General features: G+C 37.8%; 1 protein-coding gene and 1 pseudogene across 34 annotated transcripts in view, besides 5 other annotated features; one reads left to right on the plus strand and one right to left on the minus strand.

The window, feature by feature from the left end:
• The window catches only part of PCCA (propionyl-CoA carboxylase subunit alpha), a 441,343-nt gene that overhangs the window by 48,772 nt on the left and 365,693 nt on the right, over positions 1 to 26,878 (plus strand). For 33 of the 34 annotated variants that reach the window (NR_148030.2, NR_148027.2, NR_148028.2 and 30 more), the window contains 2 exons: positions 17,115 to 17,228; positions 19,423 to 19,476. Coding sequence is in view for 25 of the 34 variants with exons in the window: in XM_017020609.2 (XP_016876098.1) it covers positions 17,115 to 17,228; positions 19,423 to 19,476 (168 nt within the window). In the remaining 9 variants the exon portion in view is untranslated. Of the gene's footprint in view, positions 1 to 11,335; positions 11,842 to 16,629; positions 16,793 to 17,114; positions 17,229 to 19,422; positions 19,477 to 26,878 lie in introns of those variants that run through there. The other variant, XM_047430370.1, reaches the window with a different exon arrangement.
• Positions 10,391 to 11,042: an enhancer, noted in NCBI's record as "OCT4-NANOG-H3K27ac hESC enhancer chr13:100800509-100801160 (GRCh37/hg19 assembly coordinates)". NCBI's record gives its function as "activates a minimal SCP1, AML or CMV promoter by ChIP-STARR-seq in naive H9 embryonic stem cells {active_cell/tissue: H9 hESC(naive)}" and the evidence as "EXISTENCE:reporter gene assay evidence [ECO:0000049][PMID:30033119]".
• Positions 12,470 to 13,012: an enhancer, noted in NCBI's record as "H3K27ac-H3K4me1 hESC enhancer chr13:100802588-100803130 (GRCh37/hg19 assembly coordinates)". NCBI's record gives its function as "activates a minimal SCP1, AML or CMV promoter by ChIP-STARR-seq in naive H9 embryonic stem cells {active_cell/tissue: H9 hESC(naive)}" and the evidence as "EXISTENCE:reporter gene assay evidence [ECO:0000049][PMID:30033119]".
• Positions 12,576 to 13,271, minus strand: RPL15P18 (ribosomal protein L15 pseudogene 18; annotated as a pseudogene).
• Positions 13,013 to 13,554: an enhancer, noted in NCBI's record as "H3K27ac-H3K4me1 hESC enhancer chr13:100803131-100803672 (GRCh37/hg19 assembly coordinates)". NCBI's record gives its function as "activates a minimal SCP1, AML or CMV promoter by ChIP-STARR-seq in naive H9 embryonic stem cells {active_cell/tissue: H9 hESC(naive)}" and the evidence as "EXISTENCE:reporter gene assay evidence [ECO:0000049][PMID:30033119]".
• Positions 21,399 to 21,900: an enhancer, noted in NCBI's record as "H3K4me1 hESC enhancer chr13:100811517-100812018 (GRCh37/hg19 assembly coordinates)". NCBI's record gives its function as "activates a minimal SCP1, AML or CMV promoter by ChIP-STARR-seq in primed H9 embryonic stem cells {active_cell/tissue: H9 hESC(primed)}" and the evidence as "EXISTENCE:reporter gene assay evidence [ECO:0000049][PMID:30033119]".
• Positions 21,901 to 22,400: an enhancer, noted in NCBI's record as "H3K4me1 hESC enhancer chr13:100812019-100812518 (GRCh37/hg19 assembly coordinates)". NCBI's record gives its function as "activates a minimal SCP1, AML or CMV promoter by ChIP-STARR-seq in primed H9 embryonic stem cells {active_cell/tissue: H9 hESC(primed)}" and the evidence as "EXISTENCE:reporter gene assay evidence [ECO:0000049][PMID:30033119]".

Raw genomic sequence — 26,878 nt, forward strand, 5'->3', positions numbered from 1 at the left:
AGTGGCGCGATTATGGCCCACTGCAGCCTCAGCCTCCTGGGCCCAAGTGATCCTTTCACCTCAGCCTCCTGAGTAACTGGGAACACCTCTAGCTAATTTTCTTTCGTGGAGTCGTGGTCTCCCTATGTTGTCCAGGCTGGTCTTGAACTCCTGGACTCAAGCATTCCTCTCATTTCAGCCTCCCAAAGTGTTGGGATTAAGGCATGAACCACCACACCTGGCCACTTTTATGTTTAATGTAGTTATTGAAATGTTTGGCTTTTGGGCTACTGTTTTATTATTTTGTTTTTCTATCTAGTTTTTTTCACTGTTTCACTCTTTGTGTCTTCTTTTGCATTATTTGAACTTTTTAAAAGTATTCCTTTGAAATTTATTGTGTTTATGACTATCTCGTGTAGTTTTTCTTCAAATTAATACTTTATTGATTATAATATACATACTTAACTTCCTATGGTCTATTGAAAATTCATATTTTACCACCTTAATTGGAATATGTCAGTCTTACCATCATGCAGGTATCTACATTCTCTTCTTATGTTATGGTTTTCTTACGTGTTATATCTGCATGCATTGAAAACCCCATCAGACAATGTTAAAATTTTTGCTTTCAACAGTTAAACGTATTTCAAAAGCAATGTTATCATTTCTGTTGCTCTTCCTTCATTCCTTATGTTCCAGATTTCCTTCTAATGTTATTTTCCTTCTGTCTGAAGAACTTCCTTAAGCAGTTTTAGAGCTGATCTGCTAGCAACTAATGCTCTTAGTTTTCCTTTATTTGAAAATGTCTTGGCTGGGTGCAATAGCTCACGCCTGTAATCACAGCACTTTGGGAGGCCGAAGCGGGTGGATCACGAGGTCAGGAGTTCAAGACCAGCCTGGCCAAGATGGTGAAACTCTGTCTCTACCAAAACTACAAAAAAATTAGCCAGGCGCAGTGGTAGGCGTCTGTAATCCCAGCTACTTGGGAGGCTGAGGCAGGAGAAAGGCTTGAACCAGGACAGTAGAGGTTGCAGTGAGCCAAGATCACACCACTGCACTCCAGCCTGGGAGACAGAGCAAAACTCCATCTCAAAAAAAAAAAAAAAAAAAAAAAGAAAGAAAGAAAATGTCTTTATTTCGCCTTCATTCTTAGAGGATATTTGCACTGAATATAGAGTACTGAGTTGACAGTTCTTTCTTTCCAGCACTTGAAAAACATTATGTCACTTCCTTCTGGTCTTTGTGGCTTCTGATGTGAAATCCATAGTAGTTTGAGTATCATTCCTTTATAGTTAATGTGTTGTTTTTCTTTGTTTACTTTCAGGAATTTTGTCTTTAATTTTCAGTGGTTTGATTATGTTTTCTGATTTCTTTTTGTTACCCTGTTTGAGATTCACTGACCTTCTTGAATATGTAGGTTTATGTCTTTTACCAAACTTGGGAAGTTTTCAGTCCTTATTAAAAAAAATATTTTCTCAGCATGGTGCTGAGAACATTTTTTTTCTTCTTTTCTCTGATAGACATGTATGTTAGACCTTTAAGTATTGTTCCATAGTCTCTTGTTAATTTTTTCTACTCTTTTTTTCTCTCTTGTTTCAGATTGTATAATTTCTGTTGATCAGTCTTCAGATTTATTGACTCTTTCCTTTGTCATCTGTAGTCTACCCTTGAGCCCATCCAGTATGTTTTTTTTAATTTGATTATTGCATATTTTAGTTTAAAATTTTCCATTGGTTTCTTTTTACAAATTCTGTTTCTTTTCTGATACTTTCAAAGTTTCCATTTGTTTCAAGAGTGTTCATAATTGCTTGTTGGAAAACTTTAATAATAACTTCCTTAAAATCTTTGTGAGATAATTTCAACATTTTTGTTACTTTGGTCTTGGTATTTGATTTTTCCTTCCCTGTAAGAGATTTACTTGGTTCTTGGGTTAATTTTAGATATTTTGAGTATGATGTTATGAGACATAATCCTCTGAATTTAGTTCATTTCTTTTTAGGATGTTAATATTTTTGTTTCAGTAGCAATTAACTTGGTTGGCTTCAGAGTGCACATTCCAGTTTTTTTTTGTTTTTTTTTTTCCTGTGGGCGGTGGGTCTTTGTACTCCTATACAGATCCACCCCACATATGTGTCAACAACTCATCAGTCTGGGATCTGTGGTTAGTTCAGTGTTTAAATTCTTTGGTATACTTATTAGAATTACATCCATACATGCCCAACCTAGGGATGAGCTCAGAAGTTCATAAACAACTTTATTGTGTCACTTCTCCATGCTAGCTTCTCCCATTCTGGTTCTTTAGGCCTTCACTTTTCAGTCTTCTTACTTAGAAATCTGAGGTTTTATTACCTTGCTCTGCTGTTCAAATTTTGTGTTTGTGTCCAGGACGTGTAAAGAGCACAGAGAGAGCAGAAAAAACCTTGGGGTTTTACCTGCCCTCTTGAGACTGCAGTTTCACTGATTGAAGAAGAATGTTTCTTCTCTCATTGTTTTGGCTCTTGCTGGCATCTATGTCTGCCTCTGGTACCACAGCCACAAAATTACTTGGGGGTTGGGGCAAAAAAGAATAGAGCAAAAGGAAAAAAAATATGGGAATTGAGATTTCCATAATGTTGTAAGTATCAGGAGCTCCCTTTCCTGCCTTTTGAGTGAGATGAATAGGGGTTCTCCTGGAGTTCTCTCCATCAGTGTCCCCATGCCTACTTTGCATTTCAGGCTTTTCCAAGGTCGGTCAGGGAGATCATGGGAGGAAAAGAAAATGATAAAACTCACCACTTGTTTATAGTAATTTGAATTCTTTTCTTCCTTGATCTGCCTGCTACTGTTTGCTTTTCCAAGTCTATAAATACTTGATTCGTGCATTCTTTTGAGGTTTCATAGTTGAATTCAGTGGGATAGTTGGGGTGGAGCATGCTTAGTCCATCTTACCTGCAGTTAGAATGGCCAGGGGTGTTTCTTGAAAGCTACTTAGAAAACAAATGTGGGAAGGAATTAGCAGAATGCATCTTTGCATCCTGTATACTATGTTGTGTATCCTATATTATGGTAAAAGTTTGGTTAGATAACAGAGGAAAATAAAGGAGGTTTTCATTGTTGATAGCACTATGTCCTAACCTTCATCTGAGGTTACTGGGAGAGAAAGGAAAGTGTTACAGCTAATTGCTTGAATGACTCAACTGCAGTAATATATAGTAAGCTGCTATTAATGATGCAGTATAGCTTGCCTCCTGTGGATGTTATTTTCTTTCCATAGGAGATAAACATTGAGAATCACAGACTTCCCAAAATCCAAACACTTTACCGTGACATTCAAGATCCATTCAAGTTCCTACTGATTTTTCTTCTACCATCCTTTCCCATCAGTCCCTTTTCATACACTTTATTTTCAAGCCATCTCACAGATTTCTATACTGGCACCTTTCACATTTCCACCATTTCGAATGTACTCTTTCTCTGTTAGTTCTCTCTCACTTTTTTTCATTTATTAGAAATCCAGTTTTATTGTTCAATAGCCAATTCTCTGTGAAACCATTTGTACATGTTATTTTTTATTACATTTATTTATTTATGTATTTATTTATTTATCAGACAGAGTCTCACTCTGTCTCCCAGGCTGGAGTGCAGTGGCGTGATCTCGGCTCACTGCAACCTCCACCTCCCAGGTTCAAGTGATTATTATGCCTCAGCCTCCCGAGTAGCTGGGATTACAGGCATGCACCACCATGTCCAGCTGATTTTTTTGTATTTTTAATAGAGACAGTGTTTCACCATGTTGGCCAGGCTGGTTTCAAACTACTGACCTCAAGTGATCTGCCCGCCTTGGCCTCCCAAAGTGCTAAGTTTACAGGCGTGAACCACCACACCCAGCCTTTATTACTCTTAATTGCAGTTGGTGTATAAGTCTTTCATACCAGACCAAACTCCTGGAGGGGTAGAGGACTGTGATTTATCATCTTTTTATACCTTGCTGTAATAAAGTATACCTGTAATAAATTTTTGAGTGGATCAGGGAAAAGAAAGGAAGTGTTCATGATTTAGTTAATGTTAAAGGGATATGATGGGTGGAACATCAAATAGTTGAATTACATAAGAGAGTGGAAAACAAAGGCAAGTACTGTTTAAATGGAATTAGGAACTAATGTTTTGGGAAATATGTTTCGATGACTTTGAGTGTTGGCAATAATACTTGGAAATTCATTTTTTCTGATCTTTTTATTATATACAGTTTTTCTTCCAGTAGGGCAGATTTTTTTTTTCTCTAGTCTTTTCTCTTCTGAGGGCCAGCTGCCACCTCCTATAAGGTAGAGTTTTTCTACCTTGTGCTGTCCAGATGTTTCTTTTTATTTGAATTTATTTATTTACTCTTTTACACAAAAGAGGCATGCCAACAGCTGCACTAAGTGTTCTTTCCTAAGCCAGCCAGATGTTTGGACTTGGAGAAAAGTTAGATTTTGAAATAAAAGACAGGTGGATTATAGCCCTTCATTCAACCATTCAGTTTTTCCTTGCCTATTGCTGCTGCCAGGTAGGGTGTCTTTAACCCGTCTTTATAGTACCTCTTGTCACAAATTTAGTTCCAGAAATTAAAGGACTAACTCCTCCTGAAATCTCTATGAGATGAAATGAGCCTTCTTTTTTTTTTTTTTTTTGAGATGGAGTCTTGCTCTGTCTCCCAGGCTGGCGTGCAGTGGCATGATCTCGGCTCATGCAACCTCCGCCTCCTGGGTTCAAGTGATTCTCCTACCTCAGCCTCCCGAGTAGTTAGGATTACAAGTGCGTGCCACGACATCCAGCTAATTTTTATATTTTTAGTAGAGATGGGGTTTTGCCATGTTGGCCAGGCTGGTCTCAAACTGCTGACCTCAGGTGATCCACCCGCCTCGGCCTCCCAAAGTGCTGGGATTACAGGCATGAGCCACCACACCCAGCTGAAATGAACCTTCTTACAGACTAGATTCTATGTGGTTGTCCTAGTATGAGGCTGGTAAGCTTGCTGACATCATGCTTGGGTTTTCATCTGATGAGGTTCAGCTGGTGGCCCAGCATAGCGTATCAGGCTCCCTGTGTATGACAGTGCCGCTGGAGATGGGTCATTCTTCGACTAGTAGGTGATTTGATCTCCCCTGATACATTTATGTTTTTTCACATTTTGGGCTCTGATTCTCCCCCTTACATGGGCTTCAATTCCAAGGAAGGTAGGAGTTGAGATACAGGTACCCTTCTGTTTTTCAATCCTGCTACTCTTGCTGTGTTTATCTGAGTGTGGTTCTCTTATACTCTGTAAACTAAGTCCCTAAAGAGGAACTTCTGTTCCTGGTAGCTGGACCTACTTAAGGAGTTGCAGGTAAATTCAGTGAATGGCATAGTCACTTTGGGTCTTTAACTATTGAGTTAAAATATCTTTGGCCAGGTGCGGTGGCTCATGCCTGTAATCCCAGCATTTTGGGATGCTGAGGTGGGTGGATCATTTGAGGGTCAGGAGTTTGAGACTAGCCTGACCAACATGGTGAAACCCCGTCTCTACTAAAAATACAAAAAAAAATTAGCTAGCTGTGGTGGTGCACGCCTGTAGTCCCAGCTACTTGGGAGGCTGAGGCATGAGAATTGTTTGCACGTGGGAGGCAGAGATTGCAGTGAGCTGAGATTGCGCCACTGTACTCCAGCCTGGGTGACAGAGCGAGACTCTGCATCCACAAAAAAAAAAAAATAAAAAAAAAAAATAAAAATCTTTATTAATTATTAGTCTTGGATGAATAGGAAGAAATAAAAATTGTTTCTTGAGCTCCTTCAAAGTACTTATTCTGTCTTCGGGTATAGAATGATTTTCTTTTTTGGGAAATGGGGAGAAAGAATATTTATTTTTGAAGAGAAAATAAAACACTTCTAGACATTTTTGTTTTCTTTTTGTTGTTGTTGTTTGTTTGGTTTTGAGTCAGGGTCTTGCTCTGTCACCCAGGCTAAAGTGTAGTGGCACGACCATAGCTCACTGCAACTTCCAACTCATGGGCTCATGCAATCATTCTGCCTCAGCCTCCCAAGCAGCTGGGATTACAGGTGCCAGCCACCATGTCTGGCTAATTAAGAGAAATTTTTTTTTTTTTTTGTAGAGATGGGGCCTCTGTGTTGCCCAAGCTGGTCTGGAACTCCTGGGCTCAAATGATCCTCCCATCTTGGCCTCCGAAAGTGTTGGGTTTACAGGCATGAGCCACCATGCCCGGCCCCAGATATTTCTGATGTCTTTAAATTTCATACCACTGCTTGGTGAAAAATGACTGTGCTAAGGAAAACTTCTTGAGCTCCGTAACTGCTTTTCATGATTACCTTCAATGTCTGGGAGCTAACTATACCAGGAAGCTTTTGAGTGGTTGATTTTGCTGCTATTTGTAATACTCATCTGATAGTTTTTGGTAAGAAACTAAACAGCCATATACCGTAAATCAAGAGCTGTCCTGTCTTTTGGGATCCCAGCAAAAATATTGGATAATGTGGGAAATGGAATCTGAGCCCAGAAAGCCAGCTTTTAGAGTTTCTAGGAATGCCATGATGTCTGCATAGATACTAGGAGAAAGATACTCACCATTAAGATACATAAATAGAGGAATGGCTGTAGTAATTTAGGACTGGTATGATCACTTTCATGTACTCATTTTTATATCATATTAGATGCTCACTAGATTAGTTGATGCTTTTCATGACAGTCTTAAAAATAAGTTTTAACTGATTAATTGTAGAAAACTATGTTCTTGTTTATAATCTTTGATTTTTAAATTAAAAATACATACACTATATATTTCCTATGTTAAGAAATGAAAAAATTTAAAAGTCCTGACTTATAATTAAGGCTGTTGGGATGAGCCAGACTTCATCTTCCTGTCCCAAATTCCCAGGGATGAGAAAAAGTTGAAGAGAAAAGACCTAAAGATAAACAACAAACCAGAATTTTGATGGAAAATGGTAAAGAGTACTCATGGGATCCTGGAAATGCTGGTCCTGGAAACAGTGAGGAATTTTGCAAGAGAGATGGCTGATGGGATCATGCCCCAGGAAACCCCAGTCTGAAACACAGATAGGAGAGGATGGCTGCAAAGATGGGAGCAGCTCCAGAGGAGACAGCCTTGAGCACAAGAAGTGACATCCAGCTAGGTGATTCTTCCACACTCAGTGTCCATGAGGGAGCAGATGATTCGTAAACAGGTAGAGCCATATCTTGGAATTCTTTAGTAGTTAAAAAGACTGAGGTGGATCTCTGTATATCAACAGAGAACATCTCTAAGACATTAAAAATGGAAAGAGAACTTGTGTAAGGACACATATGGTATAATGATACCATTAATGGTAAAAGAATCCCAACCTAAAATATCTTTATAGTTACCTATGTAAAAGCATACAGCATAGGTTCTCAACAGTGGCATTGTTCACATTATGGGTTAGAGGACTCTGTCATGGGCGACTGTCCTGCACACTAGAGGGTTTTTAGCAGCATCCCTGGCGTCTTACCCTCTAGATACTAGTCGTGTCCCCTCAGGCCCCAGTAGTGACAGCCAAAACTATCTACAGACATTGCCAACTGTGTCCTGGGGGACAAAATTGCTCCAAGTTGGGATCCCTTGGCATATATTGAAGTCTAATAATGCATATTCACCTGTTAAGTGATTACCGGAGAGAGACATTGTAATGGGGACAGGTGTGGTCAGTGGAGTTGTTAGCTTTATTTTGAATAAGAATGTTTAGGTATAACGGTAGGGCGCAGTGGCTCACGCCTGTAATCCCAGCACTTTGGAAGGCCAAGGCAGGCAGATCATGAGGTTAGGAGATGGAGACCATCCTGGCTAAGATGGTGAAACCCATCTCTACTAAAAATACAAAAAAATAGCTGGGCATGGTGACATACACCTGTAGTCCCTGCGACTCAGGAGGCTGAGGCAGGAGAATCGCTTGAACCCAGGAGGTGGAGGTTGCGGTGAGCCAAGATTGCACCATTGCACTCCAGCCTGGGCGACAGAGTGAGACTCCGTCTCAAAAAAAAAAAAAAAGTTTAGCTATTACATATATTTACATATATTACATGTAATTAAAAACAAAACAAAAGATAGTTTTGCTTTTTTTTTTTTGAGACAGAGTCTCACTCTATCGCCCAGGCTGGAGTGCGCTGGTGCAATCTCGGCAGCTCGCTGCAATCTCTGCCTCCTGGGTTCAAGTGATTCTTGTGCCTCAGTCTCCCAAGCAGCTGGGACCATAGATATGCGCCACCACACTCGGCTAATTTTTTGTATTTTTAGCAGAGATGGGGTTTTGCCATGCTGGCCAGGCTGATCTCAAACTCCTGGCCTCAAGCGATCTGCCTGCCTCCACCTCCCAAAGTGCTGGGATTACAGGCGTGAGCCACCGCACCGGCCAGCTTTGCTTTTTTATAAGATATCTGTTGTATTAAATTTAAAAATGGTTAATGGTGGCTGGGCGCGGTGGCTCATGCCTGTAATCCCAGCACTTTGGGAGGCCGAGGCAGACGGATCACGGGGTCAGGAGTTTGAGACCAGCCTGACCAACATGGTGAAACCCCGTCTCCACTAAAACTACAAAAATTAGCCAGGTGTTGTGGCACATGCCTGTAATCCCAGCTACTCAGGAGGCTGAGGCAGGAGAATCACTTGAACCCAAGAGGCGGAGGTTGCAGTGAGCCAAGATCGTGCCACTGCACTCCAGCCTAGGCAACAGAGTGAGACTCTGTCTCAAAAAAAAAAAAAAATGGTTAATAGTTAGAAGAAATACAGGTAGCTTACAAACGTGCAAATGTGCCCAAACTCACTAATAACCAGGAAAATGCGAATTAAAAAAATGAATCATTTTTCTCCATTACATTAATAAAATTAGAAAGATAAATCATGTTCAGTGATGGTGTAGTGTTGGGAAATTAATCTCTAATAGTAGTGTAAGTTGACCTAAGATTTTAAATGTGTAGTTTGTGGTATTTGTATTTAAATTAAATATTTTTCTTATAGAAATATACATATGTATGCAGATTGGCATGTTTAGGGAAGCTTATTGCAGCGCACAATACCTGCAAATTGGAACCATGTCCAATACTAGGAGAATGGTTAAATAAGTTATGGTTCATCTAGATTACTAGAAATACTGGGTAGCAGTTAAAAATTATGAGGTAGAATTCTAAAAAAAAAAAAAACTGAGTGATAAAATTAGTTGTAGAATAAAATGTAGTGTGATTCAGTTTATACCAAGAAAAATCTTAAACATGAAATAAAACTCTGCACCTTTATTTCTGCATATCCATATGAAAATGCTTAGGTAAGTTTGGAAGGACACATGCAAAACTGATCATGGCTGGATAACAGGAAATGGGACTAGGAGCCTTTAAAACGGGGCAGGGAATAATGGTTATCTGGTATCTATACTGCTTAAGCTTTTTTTCTTTTTAACCAAAGGAGTAACTCATACATTACTTGGGTAATTACAATAAAATTGAAAAATGTAAGAACATCTAAATGACTTGCTTTATATGCATAGTGTCATCATTTAGTGGCCTGTGTTGAGCAGTGATAGCTGCTGCTGGGGCTCTGGTAGGGCTTTAAGATCCCATGACTTTTGGTGGCTCTCCATATTTTGTGGAATTGGCATTAGCTGTTCATATGGTTTGGAAACACTTTTTTAAAAATATTGATTTCAGTGGAGATTATTTCCCAACCCTATTCCTAGAATTTCACTCTGTTATTGCTTCAGAAAGATGTATTCAGAAATATATGCCTGTGTATTTATGACTTCATCACTAGACTTTGAATGCATGTGTGATAGCTTTCTCTTTAGTAAGTGGAAATTAATCTTAAAGATTGCAAGCTAGAGCTGAGCCCACACTCTTACTGGTATTTTCTTGTTTCCTCCCCTAACCTAACTTGTCATAGTTTTTCTTAGGTAGTATTATTTATTTCTTTTTTTACTACGTAGTGACATTCTTCAAATGTATACTTTCACTCTGGCTTGTCCGTAATTGGCTGGAAATTGTGATGGATCTATATAGTTTTTTTTGTGTTTTTAATAAAATCTGTATAACATAAAGTTTACTATTTTGCTCATTTTATTTCATTTATTTAATTATTATTTTATATTTTTACAGATGGGGTCACACTGTGTTGCCCAGGTTGGACTCGAACTCCTGGGCTTGAGTGATCCTCCTGCCTCAGCCTCCTAAGCCGTGGGGACTACAGGAACTGGGCCACTGCACACGGCAGTTTTAGTCTTTTTATTTTTTATTTTTTGAGACAGGGTCTCACTCTGTTAGCCAGGATGGAGTGCAGTGGTGGAATCACAGCTCACTGCCACCTTAGCCTCCACTTGGGAAGCCTCTTGGGTCTGCCACTGCTTGTCAGAAACTTTTTACTCTGAATTATGTCATATCTCAGGTGTTTTTACCTAGTTATTTTGCACATTACCCTTCTCAAAGGCATTTGTTCAAGTTTTTCCTAAGCTAATGAAGGAAAACAAACCTGAGTCATCTCTTGGCTGTCACTCTGCCTCTCCTACTCTTTACATCCAGCCATATGTACAGTCCTCACCCCACCCACCCCACCCCTACTCTACTTTTTCCTCTGCTTTATTCCGCAGTCCTTTCATTTGTGGTCTGGTACCCACCAGCTACACTGACATGACTCTTGCTAAGGTTTTGCTTGAATACTTGATGTCTCCTTTCTCTCTGTCATTCCTCCCCTTCTCCCTTGATGCTTCTACTAAGGGGTCAGTGGTATGAGAAGATAGTTCTCCTCCTGCTGGTTTTCATTATTTTGTTGTTTACTGTATCGTCAGGAATGCATGCTTGCAAGACAAAGACTAAAACAAAAAACAAAAAACCCAAACAGCAAAAAAACCCCAAAACACCTTTGTTTTGGTTCCGAGATCGATTCAGTATTAGTTCCCTTTTGTGAAATGAAAACAGGATTGTAGAAAATGGGCTGGGAATTTTGCAACTGGCAAAAACGTATTCTCTTTTTTTCCTGTAGTTTAAAATTTTACCACTTTGAAAATCATGTAAGTTATCTTAGAAGAAAAATAGTAGTCCACTAATTCTACCATCCAAAATAACCATGAATAAATATGTCTTGGTGCTACACATGTAGTTTTTCAAAATGGAATCAAAGCGAATCTTTAAAAAAAATCATTTTGTTTTCTATGATCAAATTGCCTTTCTGGGAAAGGACATGCCAGAATGTTAGTTTTTTAAAACTTATAAAAGTATCTTTAGATACTTTGAATGAAATAGAAAGAGTTCTATTCTTTTTTTTTTTAGAAATAGGATTTTATCTGGTTGTTTGATTTTTTTTTTTTTTTTCAGTTATTCAAATGAAGATTGATGCAGTTGGCTTTCCTTTAACCTTTTAGTCTTTCAGGGTAATTTTCTTTCTTTTTTTTTTTGAGACTCCCAACAAGTTTATTATTTTTTAAATTGTGGTAAAATGCTTATAAGGAAACTTGCCATCTTAACTATTTTTAAGTGTACAGTTCAGTGGCATTAAGTACATTCACATTGTTGTGCAGCCATCACTATAATCTATCTCCAGAACTCTCTTCATATTCCAAACTGAAACTCTGTACCCATTTAACAGTAACTCCCCATTCCAGGCTCGCCACAGTCTCTGGCAACCACTATTCTACTTTCAGGATAATTTTCATTGGTTAGTAATGTTTGGATAATTTGATTAGATTTGGTGGATACTGAAGACTGGCCGGGTTATGTAAGCTGTTGCTACTTTCAGCCAAGGAGTGCATCTAGTCCGTATTACATCATCCTTGGAGTGTTCTACCCAGTGTCTTGCATTGAAGGACATCAGAAGGAAAACTCCTGTATTCTCAGTCGTGGTAAATAGTGTCCACTTCATTACAGATCTCCTTGAGTGATAGGTTTCAAAATATCTCTAGGCATGAAGAAACATTTCCAAACCTGCTTGTCTTCTCTACCTTTCTCAGTATGTACTAGTTTAGAAGGTATTCAAAATGTTTCACTGAGACCATTGAGTTTTATGCTAAATATAACATCTGGCCTAGCACTTTTTATCACTCATATGCAATCTATTTGATAAGGACAGGGACCAAATAGAATGTCTTTTTCAATGTATTTTAGGCATCTAATTGACTAATATGAAATTTTCTATTAATCCAGAGTTTTTAAATGCAGGCATAATTCCCCCCCACCCCGCCCGCAAAGATTCAGTCTTGCTCTGTTGCCCAGGCTGGAGTGCAGTGGCCTGATCGGCTCACTGCAACCTCTGCCTCCCAGGTTCAGCAATTCTCCTGCCTCAGCCTCCCGAGTAGCTGGGATTACAGGCATGCACCATTACGCCCAGGTAATTTTTCTTTTGTATTTTTTGGTAGAGACAGGGTTTCACCATGTTGGTCAGGCTGGTCTTGAACCCCTGACCTTGTGATCCACCCGCCTCGGCCTCCCAAAGTGCTGGGATTGCAGGCGTGAGCTACTGCACCTGGCTGCAGGCATACTTTTTAACCTATTTATATCCAAACATTTAAATTTATTTTTTATTTTTATTATTTTTAATATTTTTATCATTGTATATGTTTATTTATATTATTATTTCAAATTGTTTATTAGGTATGAATTTTACAAACTTTACTTATATTAGCGGTAACGGTGGAGCGGGAGAGTATTGCGCCTTCTCCAAGCTCCCCGGCGAGAACCACCAATAGTGTGGTGGAACTTACGGCCGTTTCCAAGGGCCAGGGCTCTTTTGGCCTGCAGATGTCAGCCCACACATCTCCCTGTGCTGTGGACTGATTTGGTGATCCATTAGGTGTCAGGATTTCTTCTGATAGCTTTATGGAATGGATCAGTGAGGATAACCTCAAAAAATTTGTATGTGGAATCTTCACCAACCCAGTAAGAATTCAGGACTCTCAAAGCCCCACAGTGGCGTCCAGCTTGCTCCTCTGCAACGGACTGAAGGCTTGGAGCAAACTTTAGCTGGTTAACACCATGATGGACAGGCTTGCCATAAGTTGCACCCTTAGGAACTGGGCGTTTTCGGCCACCACGGCAAACACGAATCCTATATATAACGTAACCTTGCTTGGCCTCGCAGCCCAGTCAGCGCGCTTTATCAGGCTGGGTGGGGCGGAGAGCCCTGTGGAGAGCAGAGAGCTGGCGGTACTGCCAGCAGCGGACCCTCAGAAGAAAGCGCATGACATCAGACTGCTGCTTTCTCCGTAGCTCCTGGATGTACTCGTATGCACCCATCTTGGCTTACCTGATGGCTGCTGCCAGACGGAAGAAAAGAAGTTTAATTTATTTTTTAAAAGTTAATAAAGAAGATGATTTTTCTCAGTCCTGTAAGATGAAAAACACATCTGTTGTTCTAGTTATTTGGAAATTAGGCTCATACGGGTAATAGTTGATGCTAGTAATTTTTCTCTGAAGAATAAAATAATTCAAAATAGAAAACTAAATGCTTGGCTGGGCGCGGTGGCTCACACCTGTAATCCCAGCACTTTGGGAGGCTGAGGTAGGCGGATCACCTGAGGTCGGGAGTTCGAGACCAGCCTGACCCACATGGAGAAACCCTATCTCTACTAAAAATACAAAGTTAGCCGGGGTTGGTGGCGCATGCCTGTAATCCCAGCTACTTGGGAAGGCTGAGGCAGGAGAATCGCTTGAACCTGGGAGGTGGAGGTTGCGATGAGCCGAGATCGCGCCATTGCACTCCAGCCTGGGCAAGAGCAAAAACTCTGTCTCAAAAAAAAAACCAAACAAACAGAAAACAAAACAAAACAAAAAAAACCCTAAATGCTTGATGGGAAAGCTAATAATCTGCTTTAAAAATCTCTATTGGTTTTCTGAGAACGGAGAAGTTTATGAAGACAAACTATACTTAGTGTTAGTATTTAAAATGCTTTACTTTTCTTTTTGAAACATATAGCCAGTAAATCCTGCTTAGTTGATTAGTGTACCTCAGTTTAAACTTTCCATGGTTGTTATGTATTTCCTTTGCCATTAAAATATATAAAAAGGAATTTATATTTTTCAAGATGTTGAAATTTTTGAAACAAATATATCTACTCAGCCTATGCAATATTAAGTCATTCTGCAGAATAGCATCTGCATTGCTTGAATATTGTTTGTTTGTTTTGTATTATTAAGCCAAAAAAAACACCTCACACATTTCATACAACAATGACAACAAAATTGAAATAGAGTTTCAAAAGTTTGTTAGATTGTTCTTTCCAGGTTGACTCTTAAGTGTCTCTTTAACTAAGGCAGTAGAGAATTCAAATGTTTTCTTTTGCATGGCCTTTTGCTACTAGTGACCCTGGGCTAGACTGTGGGCTTGTTGAGATGTGAATGTACCCTGCCCCCTGAAGTAAGATTTGTTCCTGCAAATGGAGGAAAAGAAGCCAACCAATCCTTTATAAACAATTTGTGTTTAGTCCTTCTTTGTAAAGTCCATAGCAGTTTTGACCTGCTTTTAATGCATGATTTATTCAATTGTTTATTGGAGCACTCTTTTTTTTTTTTTTTTAAACTGGAACAATCTTAATCACCCAGTAAAATATATTAGGCTCTGAGCTAGTTCTTGATAGGTTTATTTTATTTATTTATTTATTTTTTTGAGACAGAGTCTCACTCTGTTGCCCAGGCTGGAGTGCAGTGGCGCAATCTCGGCTCACTGCAAGCTCCGCCTCCCGGGTTCACGCCATTCTCCTGCCTCAGCCTCCCGAGTAGCTGGGACTACAGGCGTCCGCCACCACGCCTGGCTAATTTTTTGTGTTTTTAGTAGAAACGGGGTTTCACCATGTTAGCCAGGATGGTCTCGGTCTCCTGACCTCGTGATCCGCCCACCTCAGCCTCCCAAAGTGCTGGGATTACAGGCATGAGCCACCGCGCCCGGCCTAGTTCTTGGTATGTTTATAAAACGTTTGTGATAACATAGGAAAAATGTCTATTATGCTAGTTAAAAAACAAAAGGGTGAAAATTATATATGCGGTATCATTACGAAAGTGTATTTAGAGAAAAGACTAAAAATGTCAATACTATTAGGATTCTCTCTCTCCTTTTTACTTTTGAATGCATGTTCATTATAGAAATTTTGGACACATAAACACATGTGCCTATGTGTATCTTTTAATTTCTTTTCCTTGATAAACCACCAATTGCCATATGTATTGCCAAGATTAAGAAGACTTTATGTAGGTGTAGATTTTTACCTTAAACATAATGAAAAAAAAATAATAAAAGTTGCAACTTTTTGTACCTCAAAGACAATGGCTTTTAACATTTGATAATGAAAGTTATTAAGCAAGCTGCTATCCAAGTGTATCTATGAGTAAATAGCTTTAATCACATAACATTGGGCTAGGGGAGATTAAAAAAAGAATTTAAGGCGTAACCTTATGATCTGGTGGAGGAGAAATTGTAACTGTGCAAAGCAGTTAAAATGAGATTGTTGGGTAGATGAGATTATATGCTAAAATCTGCACTAACTACTCTCAGAGTTTAGATTAGAGGAGATTCATCCTAAATTGAAGTACTTGGGAAAGATCCAGTGGTAGATGTGAAACTTGGAGTCCATCTTCTATAATAGGTGGTATCTGAGGACAATAAAACAAGTGTGGATTTAAGTTTAAACAAAGACTTAAATGTATTCTTTTTAAAGGATTGTGAAGTACTCAATTTCTTTCTTACAGAAGAAAACTACAATCACAATTACAACAACAAAATTGACAGTAACAGGATCTGAAGTGGACAGAGGGCAATAGGGCAATAGAGGAGGGGGCATCCTGGTCTGAGGGCAGAAGAGCAACTTGAGGTTGGGGGCATACCAGGCAACGATAACCACGAGGAAGGCCTTGCTTTGAACACAGGGATATTTAGAAGCCCTTTGCAAGCAGGGCTGCTTTTCCCTACAATTGGTATTATTAAATAATTACCGAATGTATATATTTGGATATTTTATAGTAAGATATTGACCTGAAAATCCCTTGGGCATTTACCTGATCTTTTACCTTTCAATACTCAATATAATTTTTTACTAAAGTGGAAAATATTTATTGAATTGACAAAGAGAATTCTTAGCTTTCTAAAAGACTACTTTTTTAGTTTTTTAAGATCTCATTTAAAACAAAGTATTTAAAAATTATTTCATAACTGAAGACTCTAACAGAAATACTCAGGTATTTGCCACCTTTGACTTTTTTTTTTGGTAGAAGGTGGGTCATAAATGTTTAGGTATATGTTTGTGTTCCAGTTTTTATATCTGCCTTGCAAAATAATTGTAATCTGGAAGTTTCTGAAACTGGAAAGCCATTAGGAAATTAGGAAAAGTCATTTAAAAAGATAGTAATCCTTTCATCAGTTAAAAAGAATAGACTCCTTTTAGAACTAAGCAGTTTACTCTTTTTCATATTGAATGCTTAGCTTCTATTATGCAAAATAAATAGATTTAAACATTATAGAGTGAGTAGTCTTAAAAATGGAGCATACATTCCTGAATTTTGAGTAGCTTTAGAACTTAATACACATATCATTTCTTTTAGGAATAAATGTAAAATGGATGAAGATTGAATGTGAGAGTATTTAAATGATTCTCAAGATTTTCTGGTTCATGTGTTGTGATATTGAACTCTTTCTTTCGTCTTAGGCTTTAATTTGTGCCTGGTGCTGACCTGATGCTGTGCAGGGACACTCACTGCATCCCTCCATTCAGTCCCTCTAATTATCCCAACTTCCTGGGGAGCTTGCTTAGAACTGGGCATGAGTGCTCTTTATTAAAATATTGGGCTACCCTGGCTACATGTAACAAGGTAGTTTTTGATATCAAATTTATGTATTGATGAACGGAATAGGAAGCTAAAATTGTTTGCTGTGATTTTACATAAAGAGATAGGGGATATTATGGAAATTATTTGGTTAGACAATGAATTAGGCTGTAATAAATGAAATCATGGTTAATAGAGTTCCTGAGTTTATTTGTTGCATTGTTGCTTTTTAGTGCATACTCAAAAAGAAATACGACTCTATAAATGATAGGCAGAACAATCAGATTTGCAATTTTGTGTGTATTTGCAGATGATGGTAATTCTTTTTGCTGGGCGCATCTGTTAATGCAGAAATTTGTCTCCTCAGGTTCATGTGAAAATGGCGGATGAGGCTGTCTGTGTTGGCCCAGCTCCCACCAGTAAAAGCTACCTCAACATGGATGCCATCATGGAAGCCATTAAGAAAACCAGGGCCCAAGCTGTGAGTCTGAATGAATCTATCTACTGCAGCTGTTTCATATGTAGTGAGCAGAAAGCTAGAGTTTGTATTTAAAAAAAAAAATAGGAAAGAATGATTGAAAATGCTGTTGCAGTTAGTTCATGTCACATGAGTTAAATGTGGTCGAATTCGCTACTGGAAATCAAAGGCTTTGTAGCATCTGGCAGTGTTGGTTGCTGATCCTGCAGGTGGCTGCTGGATTCAGCTTTCACACCAGGGAGCAGTTTCAGTTCATTTCCAAATTTGCTAGGAAAAAAGAAATCCCAATTAGTTTTGAGTATTAACCCTTTCCGTGTAATAAGAGCATTTTAAAAAATTCTGTGTTATAAACAGGATCCAAAGACTGTGTTCAAATTCCATTTTAATAATTTAAAAATTACTTATACCTAGTACACTTCCAGAAATAAAAACAGCACATTTGGTAATTATTTTAGTTTGTTAATGTCAGTAGAATGCTCATAATTTACAAGGATAAATCATTCTCTCCACCCCCAGTTCTGTTTGAATAGAGTGGAATCCAAGGAAAAAAATGATTTCTGATATCAGAAACAGTGTTTTTTCTTCTATTTTCTTTTTTCTTTTTTTAATTATCAGAACTAATTATATATAGTGTTAAAAACTATGCAAAGTTATCTCTAAAACTGGATGGAAACATCCAACACCAGCAATTAAGCCTGGAGCGCTTCAATTAGCGCTCACATTTCTTTTGAAAGAAATGTTTTAGTAAGATGAATGTTTAAATAAAAAGCCTAATTCGTGAACCCATATTATAGATGTTTACAGTTTATTAGCACAGTTAGTGAAGGTAAAACACTTTAACCTTTTAACTATAGCTTGCCAAAATAAATATGTAGTTGAGTGTTGATAAAATGAAGTTGGTGGAATGAAAACTCTTCTTCTCTGATACAGTAGTTTAAATTCTTCTGTACCATGCTCATAAAGCTTAGTTCAGCTTTTTTTTTGTTTTGTTTTTTGAGATGGAGTTTCGCTCTTGTTGCCCAGGCCAGAGTGCGATGGCGTGATCTTGGCTCACTGCAACCTCTGTCCCGCCAGGTTCAAGCGATTCTCTTGCCTCAGCCTCCCAAGTAGCTGGGATTACAGGTGCCTGCCACCATGCCCAGCTAATTTTGTATTTTTAGTAGAGAAGGGGTTTCACCATGTTGGTCAGGCTGGTCTTGAACTCCTGACCTCAGGTGATCTGCCTGCCTCAGCCTTCTAAACTGCTGGGATTACAGGCAGGAGCCACTGTGCCCAGCCCGAGTTCAGCATTTAAAAGTCGCTGATACGTAGCTATTTCTGGATTATGATACTGGTTCCTTTAGAAATTTGACTCTCTTTTTAGCAGAATTATTTTACTAGAAGTATGTTCAACACTGGCTGATACTGAAGTGGCGAAATTTATGTTTGGCCAGTCTGGGAGAGCCAAAAATTACTTGATTGGATCAGGCTGGTAGATTGTAGCAATGTGGCTTGTGGGTGAGGATAGTATAAAGTAGTTGTGGATGGCAAAGTTTGGGGTGAGGAAGGAAAGAAGAGTAGACATTAGAAGAAAAAAAATTCAGAGCACAAAATAAAAGTAAAACCACACCTCCATTTTAGTTCAGTTTGATAGAAACGGCTTGTTGGTAGTTGCCGAGTATTATTAATGCCATCAGGAATAAAATGTGTTAGCTGTCCTAGTAGTCTGGGTTTTGGAAATTACCAGTTCGTGAGTACTGTAAAGAAAGGAGAATTTAGAGTTTTTCATCCATCTTTGCCAAGGTTCCTTTTACATAATTCTTTGATGCACCAGCCATTGTGAAATTCTCCAGAATTGTGGGCAAAGTTAGCCTCAGGAAAAGGAGAGAGAGTTTTGTTGAATAGTGTAGACAAATGCCAGTGGGCAGGAAGCTATGTGGGCATATACTCCCCATTGTGGTTAGGACAAAGGTAGTGTGTGGAAAATGAATCAGTTAGGACAAAGGGAGTGTGGAGAAAGTAAATATAAGAGGCAGTTTCTTGGAATTTGATTCTGATCCTAGAAATGTGAGTTAGAACTGATCAGTGTATAAGAGAAGTGTACTTATTCAAGGGCTCTTGAACAGTAAATATTAATACATAAATGCACTGTACATTTTGCTTATAAAGCTTTTGCAATATGATAAAATTGAAAGTGCTTTTTGCTTTCATTTCTAAGGTACATCCAGGTTATGGATTCCTTTCAGAAAACAAAGAATTTGCCAGATGTTTGGTAAGTTGGTAATGAACCAGAAACTGTTCATTTCTTTTTCAGAAAGCAGTGTGGTAGCATGGCTTTGTAAATGTGGGTAGTGATGGATTATAGAATTTTAATTAACCCAGCAGTTCTTTGAAAATTGTGACAAGTGAAGTGGTTTTAGTCTGAAACTCAACTGTTTATTTGAAGAGTAATTATAAAAACAGAAAAGTTTACAAAATCACCATTACACTGAATGAATGATACCTGGTTTATTATATACTGCATGATATTTGAATTAAAGTTAAAAACTTCAGATTTTTAACTGTAAATATGTTAGGGAGTTTAGTGAGTTATTGTAGTGATTTAATTATTTTGTGGCATTTAATATCAAATCTTACCAATGCCTCTATTTTGGGTGAAGTTGTTTTTAATGATCTAAATGTCCCCTTCCAGCTAGGTGAATTAACGTATGTTTGTTATTAAATTGATTTTTCCAGGTATATTTATAACTTCATTCAAGATGGTACTGAAACCTTATTTTTTAGGTACTAGAATATGATTTTGATTAATGTTTGTACATATGTTTGTTATTAGATCAATTATGCCAGGTACTATCTTAATTTATTCTAATATGTTATACTTGTTTCTGTGGCATACAGTCATGTGTTGCTTAACAGCGTGAATACATTCTGAGAAATGCATCATTAGGCGAGTTCATCCTTGTGTGAACATCACAGAGTCTACTTACAGAAATCTACATGGTAGAGTCTCCCACACACTTAGGCTAAGTGTGTTATAGCCTATTGCTCCTAGGCTACAAACCTATACGTGTTGCTGTACTGGATCCTGTAGGCTGTTGTAATACAGTGGTAGATATTTGTGTATCTAAACATGTAAACAGGGAAGATACAGTTAAAAATACAGTATTAGAATCTATGGAACCACTGTCATACGTGTGGTGCCTCATTGAAATATTCTGTGGAGCATAACTGTACTCGTATTCTGTTCTTCCACGGATTGGAAATTATTTGTGAATGTTGTTATTTTCTAGATGGAATTTCCACTTAAAATCTATAACTTTAACTTGAAACAATTATTAAGATCACAGAATTGTCTATTTGAACCACCTTGCTTTGTGGGTCCAAAACTAAGGCCTAAAGAGATATCCTGAGGGGGCAAATTACATGGACACATCCAGAGGTTCCAGTTTCCCAGGTTTTATGCAGCATATCTACATTTTTTTGTTTATATCCCTTTTTATTTTTTATCTTCCTTGGAATTTTGACCAAGATTCTGTTATTATAAAAACTATTTGAATATAATACTTAAATTTAGATGTGTATGTGTGTATATATATAATGTAATGTATTACATTTAAGTCCGTATAGATGAGAGGTCGGCACACTACAGTCCACAGGACAAATGCAGCCTGCTGCCTGTTTTTGTCAATAAAATTTTATTGAAACACAGCCATGCTCTTTCATTTATGCATTGTCTATGCTGCTTTTGTCCTGTGACAGCAGAGTTGAGTAGTTGTGACAGAGACCATTTGGCCTATCAAGCCTAAAATACTTTTTCTATGGTCCTTTATACAAAAAGTTTGGGAACTCCTGCTATAAATGAATATCCAAATCCAAATTATATGAGTAGGATAAGTGATGTGGTGCCAGTATTATACATTTATTCCTATACAGTTAATACATTTATTTATTTTATATATTATATATAATATTATATACAGTTTATGCATTTTTTCAGTTATTAAAAAAATGCTGCCTTTTTTTTTTTTTTTTTTTTTTTTTTTGAGACATAGCCTTGCTCTGTCACCCAGGCTGGAATGTAGTGGCATGATCTCGGCTCACTGCAACCTCTGTCTCCTGGGTTCAAGCTATTCTGCCTCAGCCTCCTGAGTAGCTGGGATTACAGGCACACACCACCACGCCTGGCTAATTTTTGTATTTTTAGTAGAGACGGGGTTTCACCATTTTAGTCAGGCTGGTCTTGAACTCCTGATGTCGTGATCCGCCCACCTCAGCTTCCCAAAGTGCTGGGATTACAGGCGTGAGCCACTGTGTCTGGCCAAAAAATGCTTCTTTAAAGTCTGTTTAAGGCCTTTGAGAAGGATATATTAATAAAAATGAATCCAATCTGGTTCCCGCGCAGAATGCTGCAGTCCATGGGTGCTATGAGTCCTGGGTGCTCATAGTCATGTTACGGAAAATAAGTTGATACACAAATAACTTCACTTCAGGGAAGAAAATACTGTGAGATAAGATCAATATCTTTGTAAATGAAAGTAAGAAGGATGATTTCCATCTGGGGTTCTACATTAGAGAAAAACCTGTAGAATATACAACCTCCTCCTTTCTTTCACACGAGTTTTCTTTCCAAACCTATTTCCCCATTTCCCTTTTATCAGTGCTGTGCCTCCACCCAGCCTGACTGTGCGCTGCTCCCATGCGTGGCTGGCTCTGCCCTCAGTGCTTTCCTCACTCTCTCTGGGTGGGTGTGCCTGGCCTCCCACCCACCGTGTCTAACTGCTGCCTGCCCTTGAAGGCACAGTTCATATGCAGCCTCTGCGGGGAAAGGGTTCTAGATCCTTCTGTTGAGAAGTAATTTCTTTCCTTGGACTTTTTGTTTCAGTTTGATTGGAATGTTTTTGTTTTTGGAAAAATGATTTGTGCTTTATCTGATACATTGTTTTTACTTAATATCCAGGACTAAAATGATTTTTTGATTTTTTTTGCATAACTGCTGTGTATTTGCTTTAGAAAGTGTACAATAGGCCAAATTCCCCCAATGTAAAAACACACCAAACTTTACAAGACTGATAATTTTTTATGCTGAGTTTACGCGAAGTGGGATTGGATTTTATACAGTCCCTGCTGTCCATGACTTGAAAAAGATCATGTGGGCCGGGCGCGGTGGCTCATGCCTGTAATCCCTGCACTTTGGGAGGCTGAGGTGGGCAGATCACTTGAGGTCAGGAATTCGAGACCAGCTTGGACAACATGGCGAAACCCCATCTCTACTAAAAACATAAAAATTGGCCAGGTATGGTGGCACGAGCCTTTGATCCCAGCTACGTGGGTGGCTGAGGCAGGAGAATCGTTTGAGCCCGGGAGGTGGAGGTTGCAGTGAGCTGAGATCACGCTACTGCACTCCAGCCTAGGCAACAGAGCGAGACTCTGTCTAAAAAAGAAAAAAAAAAAAAGATCATGTCTTTTTGTTATTGCTTAGATAGTTCATAGAAAAAACAAAGCTACACATAATCCTCATAAAAATAGCAATTTTCAATAATTTTAATGTGCTGAGCTAACAGATTTTATTTCCAAGCTGTTTTCTATTCTGTATTTTCCCTGCAGGCTTCTTTTATTATGAGCATTAAAGGACCATCCATGGGAGACTATGAGGATTGTTAGGATGAGGCAAAGACATCTTAACAGAGTTTACAAAGAGCTTTGAAACGTGAAACTACCTTCTCTGGAAAAATGGGATGTTGGCTTGAAGATATTTCTTAGTATTCTGTGTTTTCTTTCTGGTTTTTCTATGTTGTTTTAATCATATTATCATACCTTGTCATTTCAGGTAACATAGCATAAGTTATAGTAATTAGTTTCAAGAGAAACATATGTTAGAATTTGTGTTTTGTGTTTGGATCCTATCTGTGTACTTGAAAGATACACGTATATGTAGATGGATAGTGAGTTCCATCAGGATGCTCAGCGTTGAAAGCATAGGAGGGAACTGTGCTGAGCGTGTGAGGTTTGGCGATTGTGCTCTTTTATCTTCTTTCTTTCTTGAGTTTTTAGCAAGATAAGACATGTAACTACTGTAAAATGAGAGGTAATTTTTAAAATAGCCACTGGGTTAACCAAAAACCTTTTAAATAGCTGTGGCATCCAGTGTGGGCAAGGGTCACATAGTTTTGTTCCTGGAAGTGTAAATTGTTTCAGACCTCCCCCGGCCCCCAGAAATTTGCTAGTATTTATCAAAATTTAAAACATCTATATGTTCTTTAATTTAACAGTTCCACCCTTAAGAATCTCACTTACAAAGATATACTTGAGAAAATGTTCATGGTAAGGTGTTTCATAATAGCAAAATTTAGAAAGTGTTCAAAAGTAAAATGTGGAGAATGGTGGCTTCCCTGCAGGGTCATTGGTCCTCAGTTACAAGGCTGCAGTCCATGATGTGTTATAGTTTAAAGTGTGTTGTAAGCACTTTGTAACTAATACTAAAATTCTGAAGTTAGCAAGTTTGCCAGTGACTTTGTTTAACAATTTTTTTGTTTATAAAATAAAGTGGATTAAAAATGATCCATATGATACTCTACTCATTCATATTTGGACTTTTTTTTTATTTGAGTAGGAAAAAATAGGAGAGACTTAGACCTTGCAAGCCCAGGGTTGTTTATAACTCTTATTTTCACTATATGGGCTATAATCTGCATAGCTCATGGAAATACATTATTTTTATATATCGCAGCTTAAGAAGGGTTGAGAATTGTTACTGTAGTGTATTTTGTGTAGACATCATTTTAATGACATAAATTTTCTTATTAACATTATTATATTTTCCATTTTGGACACAGACCTTTGATTTTAGTATCTTAAAATTTTTAATTTTTGAGAATGTAAAATGCTAAGAAATTTAAGCACATGAAAACATTGAAAATTAGGATTTCTTTCCATCTTTGAACCTTCGAAACAAGACCCCAATTTAAGTCTTTAGAGGTCACCACTGTTACCTTCTGGAGCATGTGTGTCTGTATGTGTGTGTGTGTGTGTGTGTGTGTGTGTGTCTGTCTGTCTGCGTGTGCTAGAATTTTGCTATCATTTGTTTTGTAAGATACTCTTAGTTGCTTAAGTAGGACTTACTTTTTTTATATGAAAAGAAGTGGCATAGAACTTTTCTTATATAAGAAAACAGTGGTCCCTAGGCTTTTAAAAATAAGTATGGAATACCTACCTGCAGGTAAGTTATTTAATCTTTATGACAACTTATGATGTATTCTTATTTTTATTCTTGGTTTTATGGAAGAGAGAACAATCTCTGAAAGTTTAAATAAATGCCTTGTCCAGTGTCACATAGCTGGTAAATGAGAGAGTATGGATCCGTTGTTTAGTATATGTTCCAGACTGACTCTCAGATGCATTGGAACTGGGCTGGGCCGTTAGTGGTATTTGTTTTTGATCGATAGCTTTAGCTGGCATCTGTTCTTGCTGTTGGTGGAGGCTTCTCTCTTTCTGCTTCCTTCCCCTCTTCCCCATTGGTGTATCATCATAGAGATCTAAAAAGTAGAGTTGTTTCTTTTGTTTTTCTCATCTTGTAACTTGGATGCCAGTGAAGGCAAATCCTCACTTGGATTTGCTAACTTACTAAGTAAGGTAACTGAGTGAGCTTTGCTCAGTTAACTGAGTGCCAGAGCTACAGCATAGAGATATTGATGCCTTTAACCACTCGTTGATATTCTTAAGTGGAACTAATAAAGTCTCCCTGGATTTGGAGGAGAAAGTTCTGTGACTCCTTTTTCCTTTTCATAATAATTTTATAATATTTTTCTAGTTGTGACTTGTACATATGTGATGTTCAAAAGAATTGATAAGAACTAATGAATGCAACTTCATAAAACCCTTATTATGACAGAATATCTTTTGAAATGTTTGAGAACGTTTCCTTTCCTATATGTTGGCTTAAGGTCAGCTTTTAGAATATTTGAAGATTTTGAATGCGATGTGGAATACTAAATGCTCTAAAGTGAATGCCTGAAAAAGGAAAACTCTCCCTTTACAGTTAGGGAGTCTTTTAAGGATGTAGATAGGTCAGATACTTTTAGGGCTTGTGGGATTTTGGGGAGTGGTTTCAATAGGAAAAGTCTGGGATTTGATGAGGCTGGGATTTTTTTCCCTTTGCTTGAGGTTAAAACAGATTGAAGTGTTACGTTCTAGTTTTCCTATTACGCTCTCTCCTTACTGCCCTATGTATCTATTAGCTCATTCTGGAGTCAGAATGACAGCTAAATTCTTTCTCTGCCACTTAGTAGCTGTGTGATCTTGGACAGGTTGTTTAATGTCGGCCTCTGAAGATTGTGTTTTATTCTTACTATTTGCATGATATGTATTTCTCCATCTGTGATTTTATGTTGAAAATACTGTGTGTTTCTTGTAGCCAGGATGTAGTTGTGTCATGCTTTTGAAATAATTCTGATGGTCTCTATTTTTAAATTGTAGTGTTTAGACTATGAAGTTTTTTCTTCTTTAGTTTGCCTTAGTGTATTTTCTTAAATAGCAGCTTTATTGAGATTTAATTCATGTGTCATCAGGCTCACCCTTTAAAAGTATACAATTGAGTGATTTGTAGTATAGTCACAGAGTTATGTAACCATCACTGCTATGCAATGTCAGTAAAATCCATTAACATTTAATAAATGATCAAGGTGGTTGGATTTATGTCTAGCATTTTATTATTTGTTTTCTCTCAGTCTCCCCTTTTTTTCCTTCTGTTTTCCTTTTCTGACTTGGATTATTTTAGTAATTTTTGAAATTCCATTAAAATTTATCTATTGGATCTATCTATTTTTCAGTGTTTTTTCTAGGATTGCAATATCCATCCTAACATTTCATATTCTAGTTAGAGCTAATATGATACCATTTCAAGTAAAATGTAGAAATTTTGCGATCATATAGTCCATCCTCCTTCTCTTCCCATCACTATCCTCTATGTTATAGTTGTCATATGTATTTCATCTGCATGTATTATAAATTCTATGTGAAAATGTTATAATTTTGTTATAAACATGTTGAGGTGAGTTAGGACATTTCTTTAAATTGATCTGTCAAATTTAAAATATAGAGACAAATCTCTAGATTAAATATTTTATTTGAGAATCACAGAATTGGAATTTGAGACATACACATGGGGTCTTCAGTATATCCAAGGAACAAAGAGAAGGTTGAAGGTTTTATTAGATAGAAAAAAAATGTTACTGATTATTTTGAAAGAAAGTTCATTGGTACTTGAAAAGCTTTGGGAGCTGGCAGGCTCGGATAGGAGAGTGGCAGTGGTAGTTTAAAAACTAGTCTTAGAGTGATAGCAGGTTGTTTCAGCAGTTACTAGGTAAAGCTGGTCTTAGGGTTACAGCAGGCTGTTTCAGCAACTGGGCCTCTGGATAGTTCAGTTCTTGGAGCCTGTGCTATGTGCCCTGAGTGCTTTTTTCCCCTGACTCCTTGACTCTTATGTAGTTGGGTATACAAGAATGACCCAATTCATGTAATCAACTTTCACAGATCCAAATATCATTCAGTTGAAATTAAGACTCATTTTATTTTGGTCCATTTAAAAAATGTTGTCTTTTAAAATTACATATGTATTTTTATTGTGGTAAAGCAGACATAACATAAAATTTACCCTTTCACCAATTTTAAGAGTGTGG

The sequence above is a fragment of the Homo sapiens genome, chromosome 13, assembly GCF_000001405.40.
Source record: "Homo sapiens chromosome 13, GRCh38.p14 Primary Assembly".
In the NCBI taxonomy this organism is placed as follows: domain Eukaryota; kingdom Metazoa; phylum Chordata; class Mammalia; order Primates; family Hominidae; genus Homo; species Homo sapiens.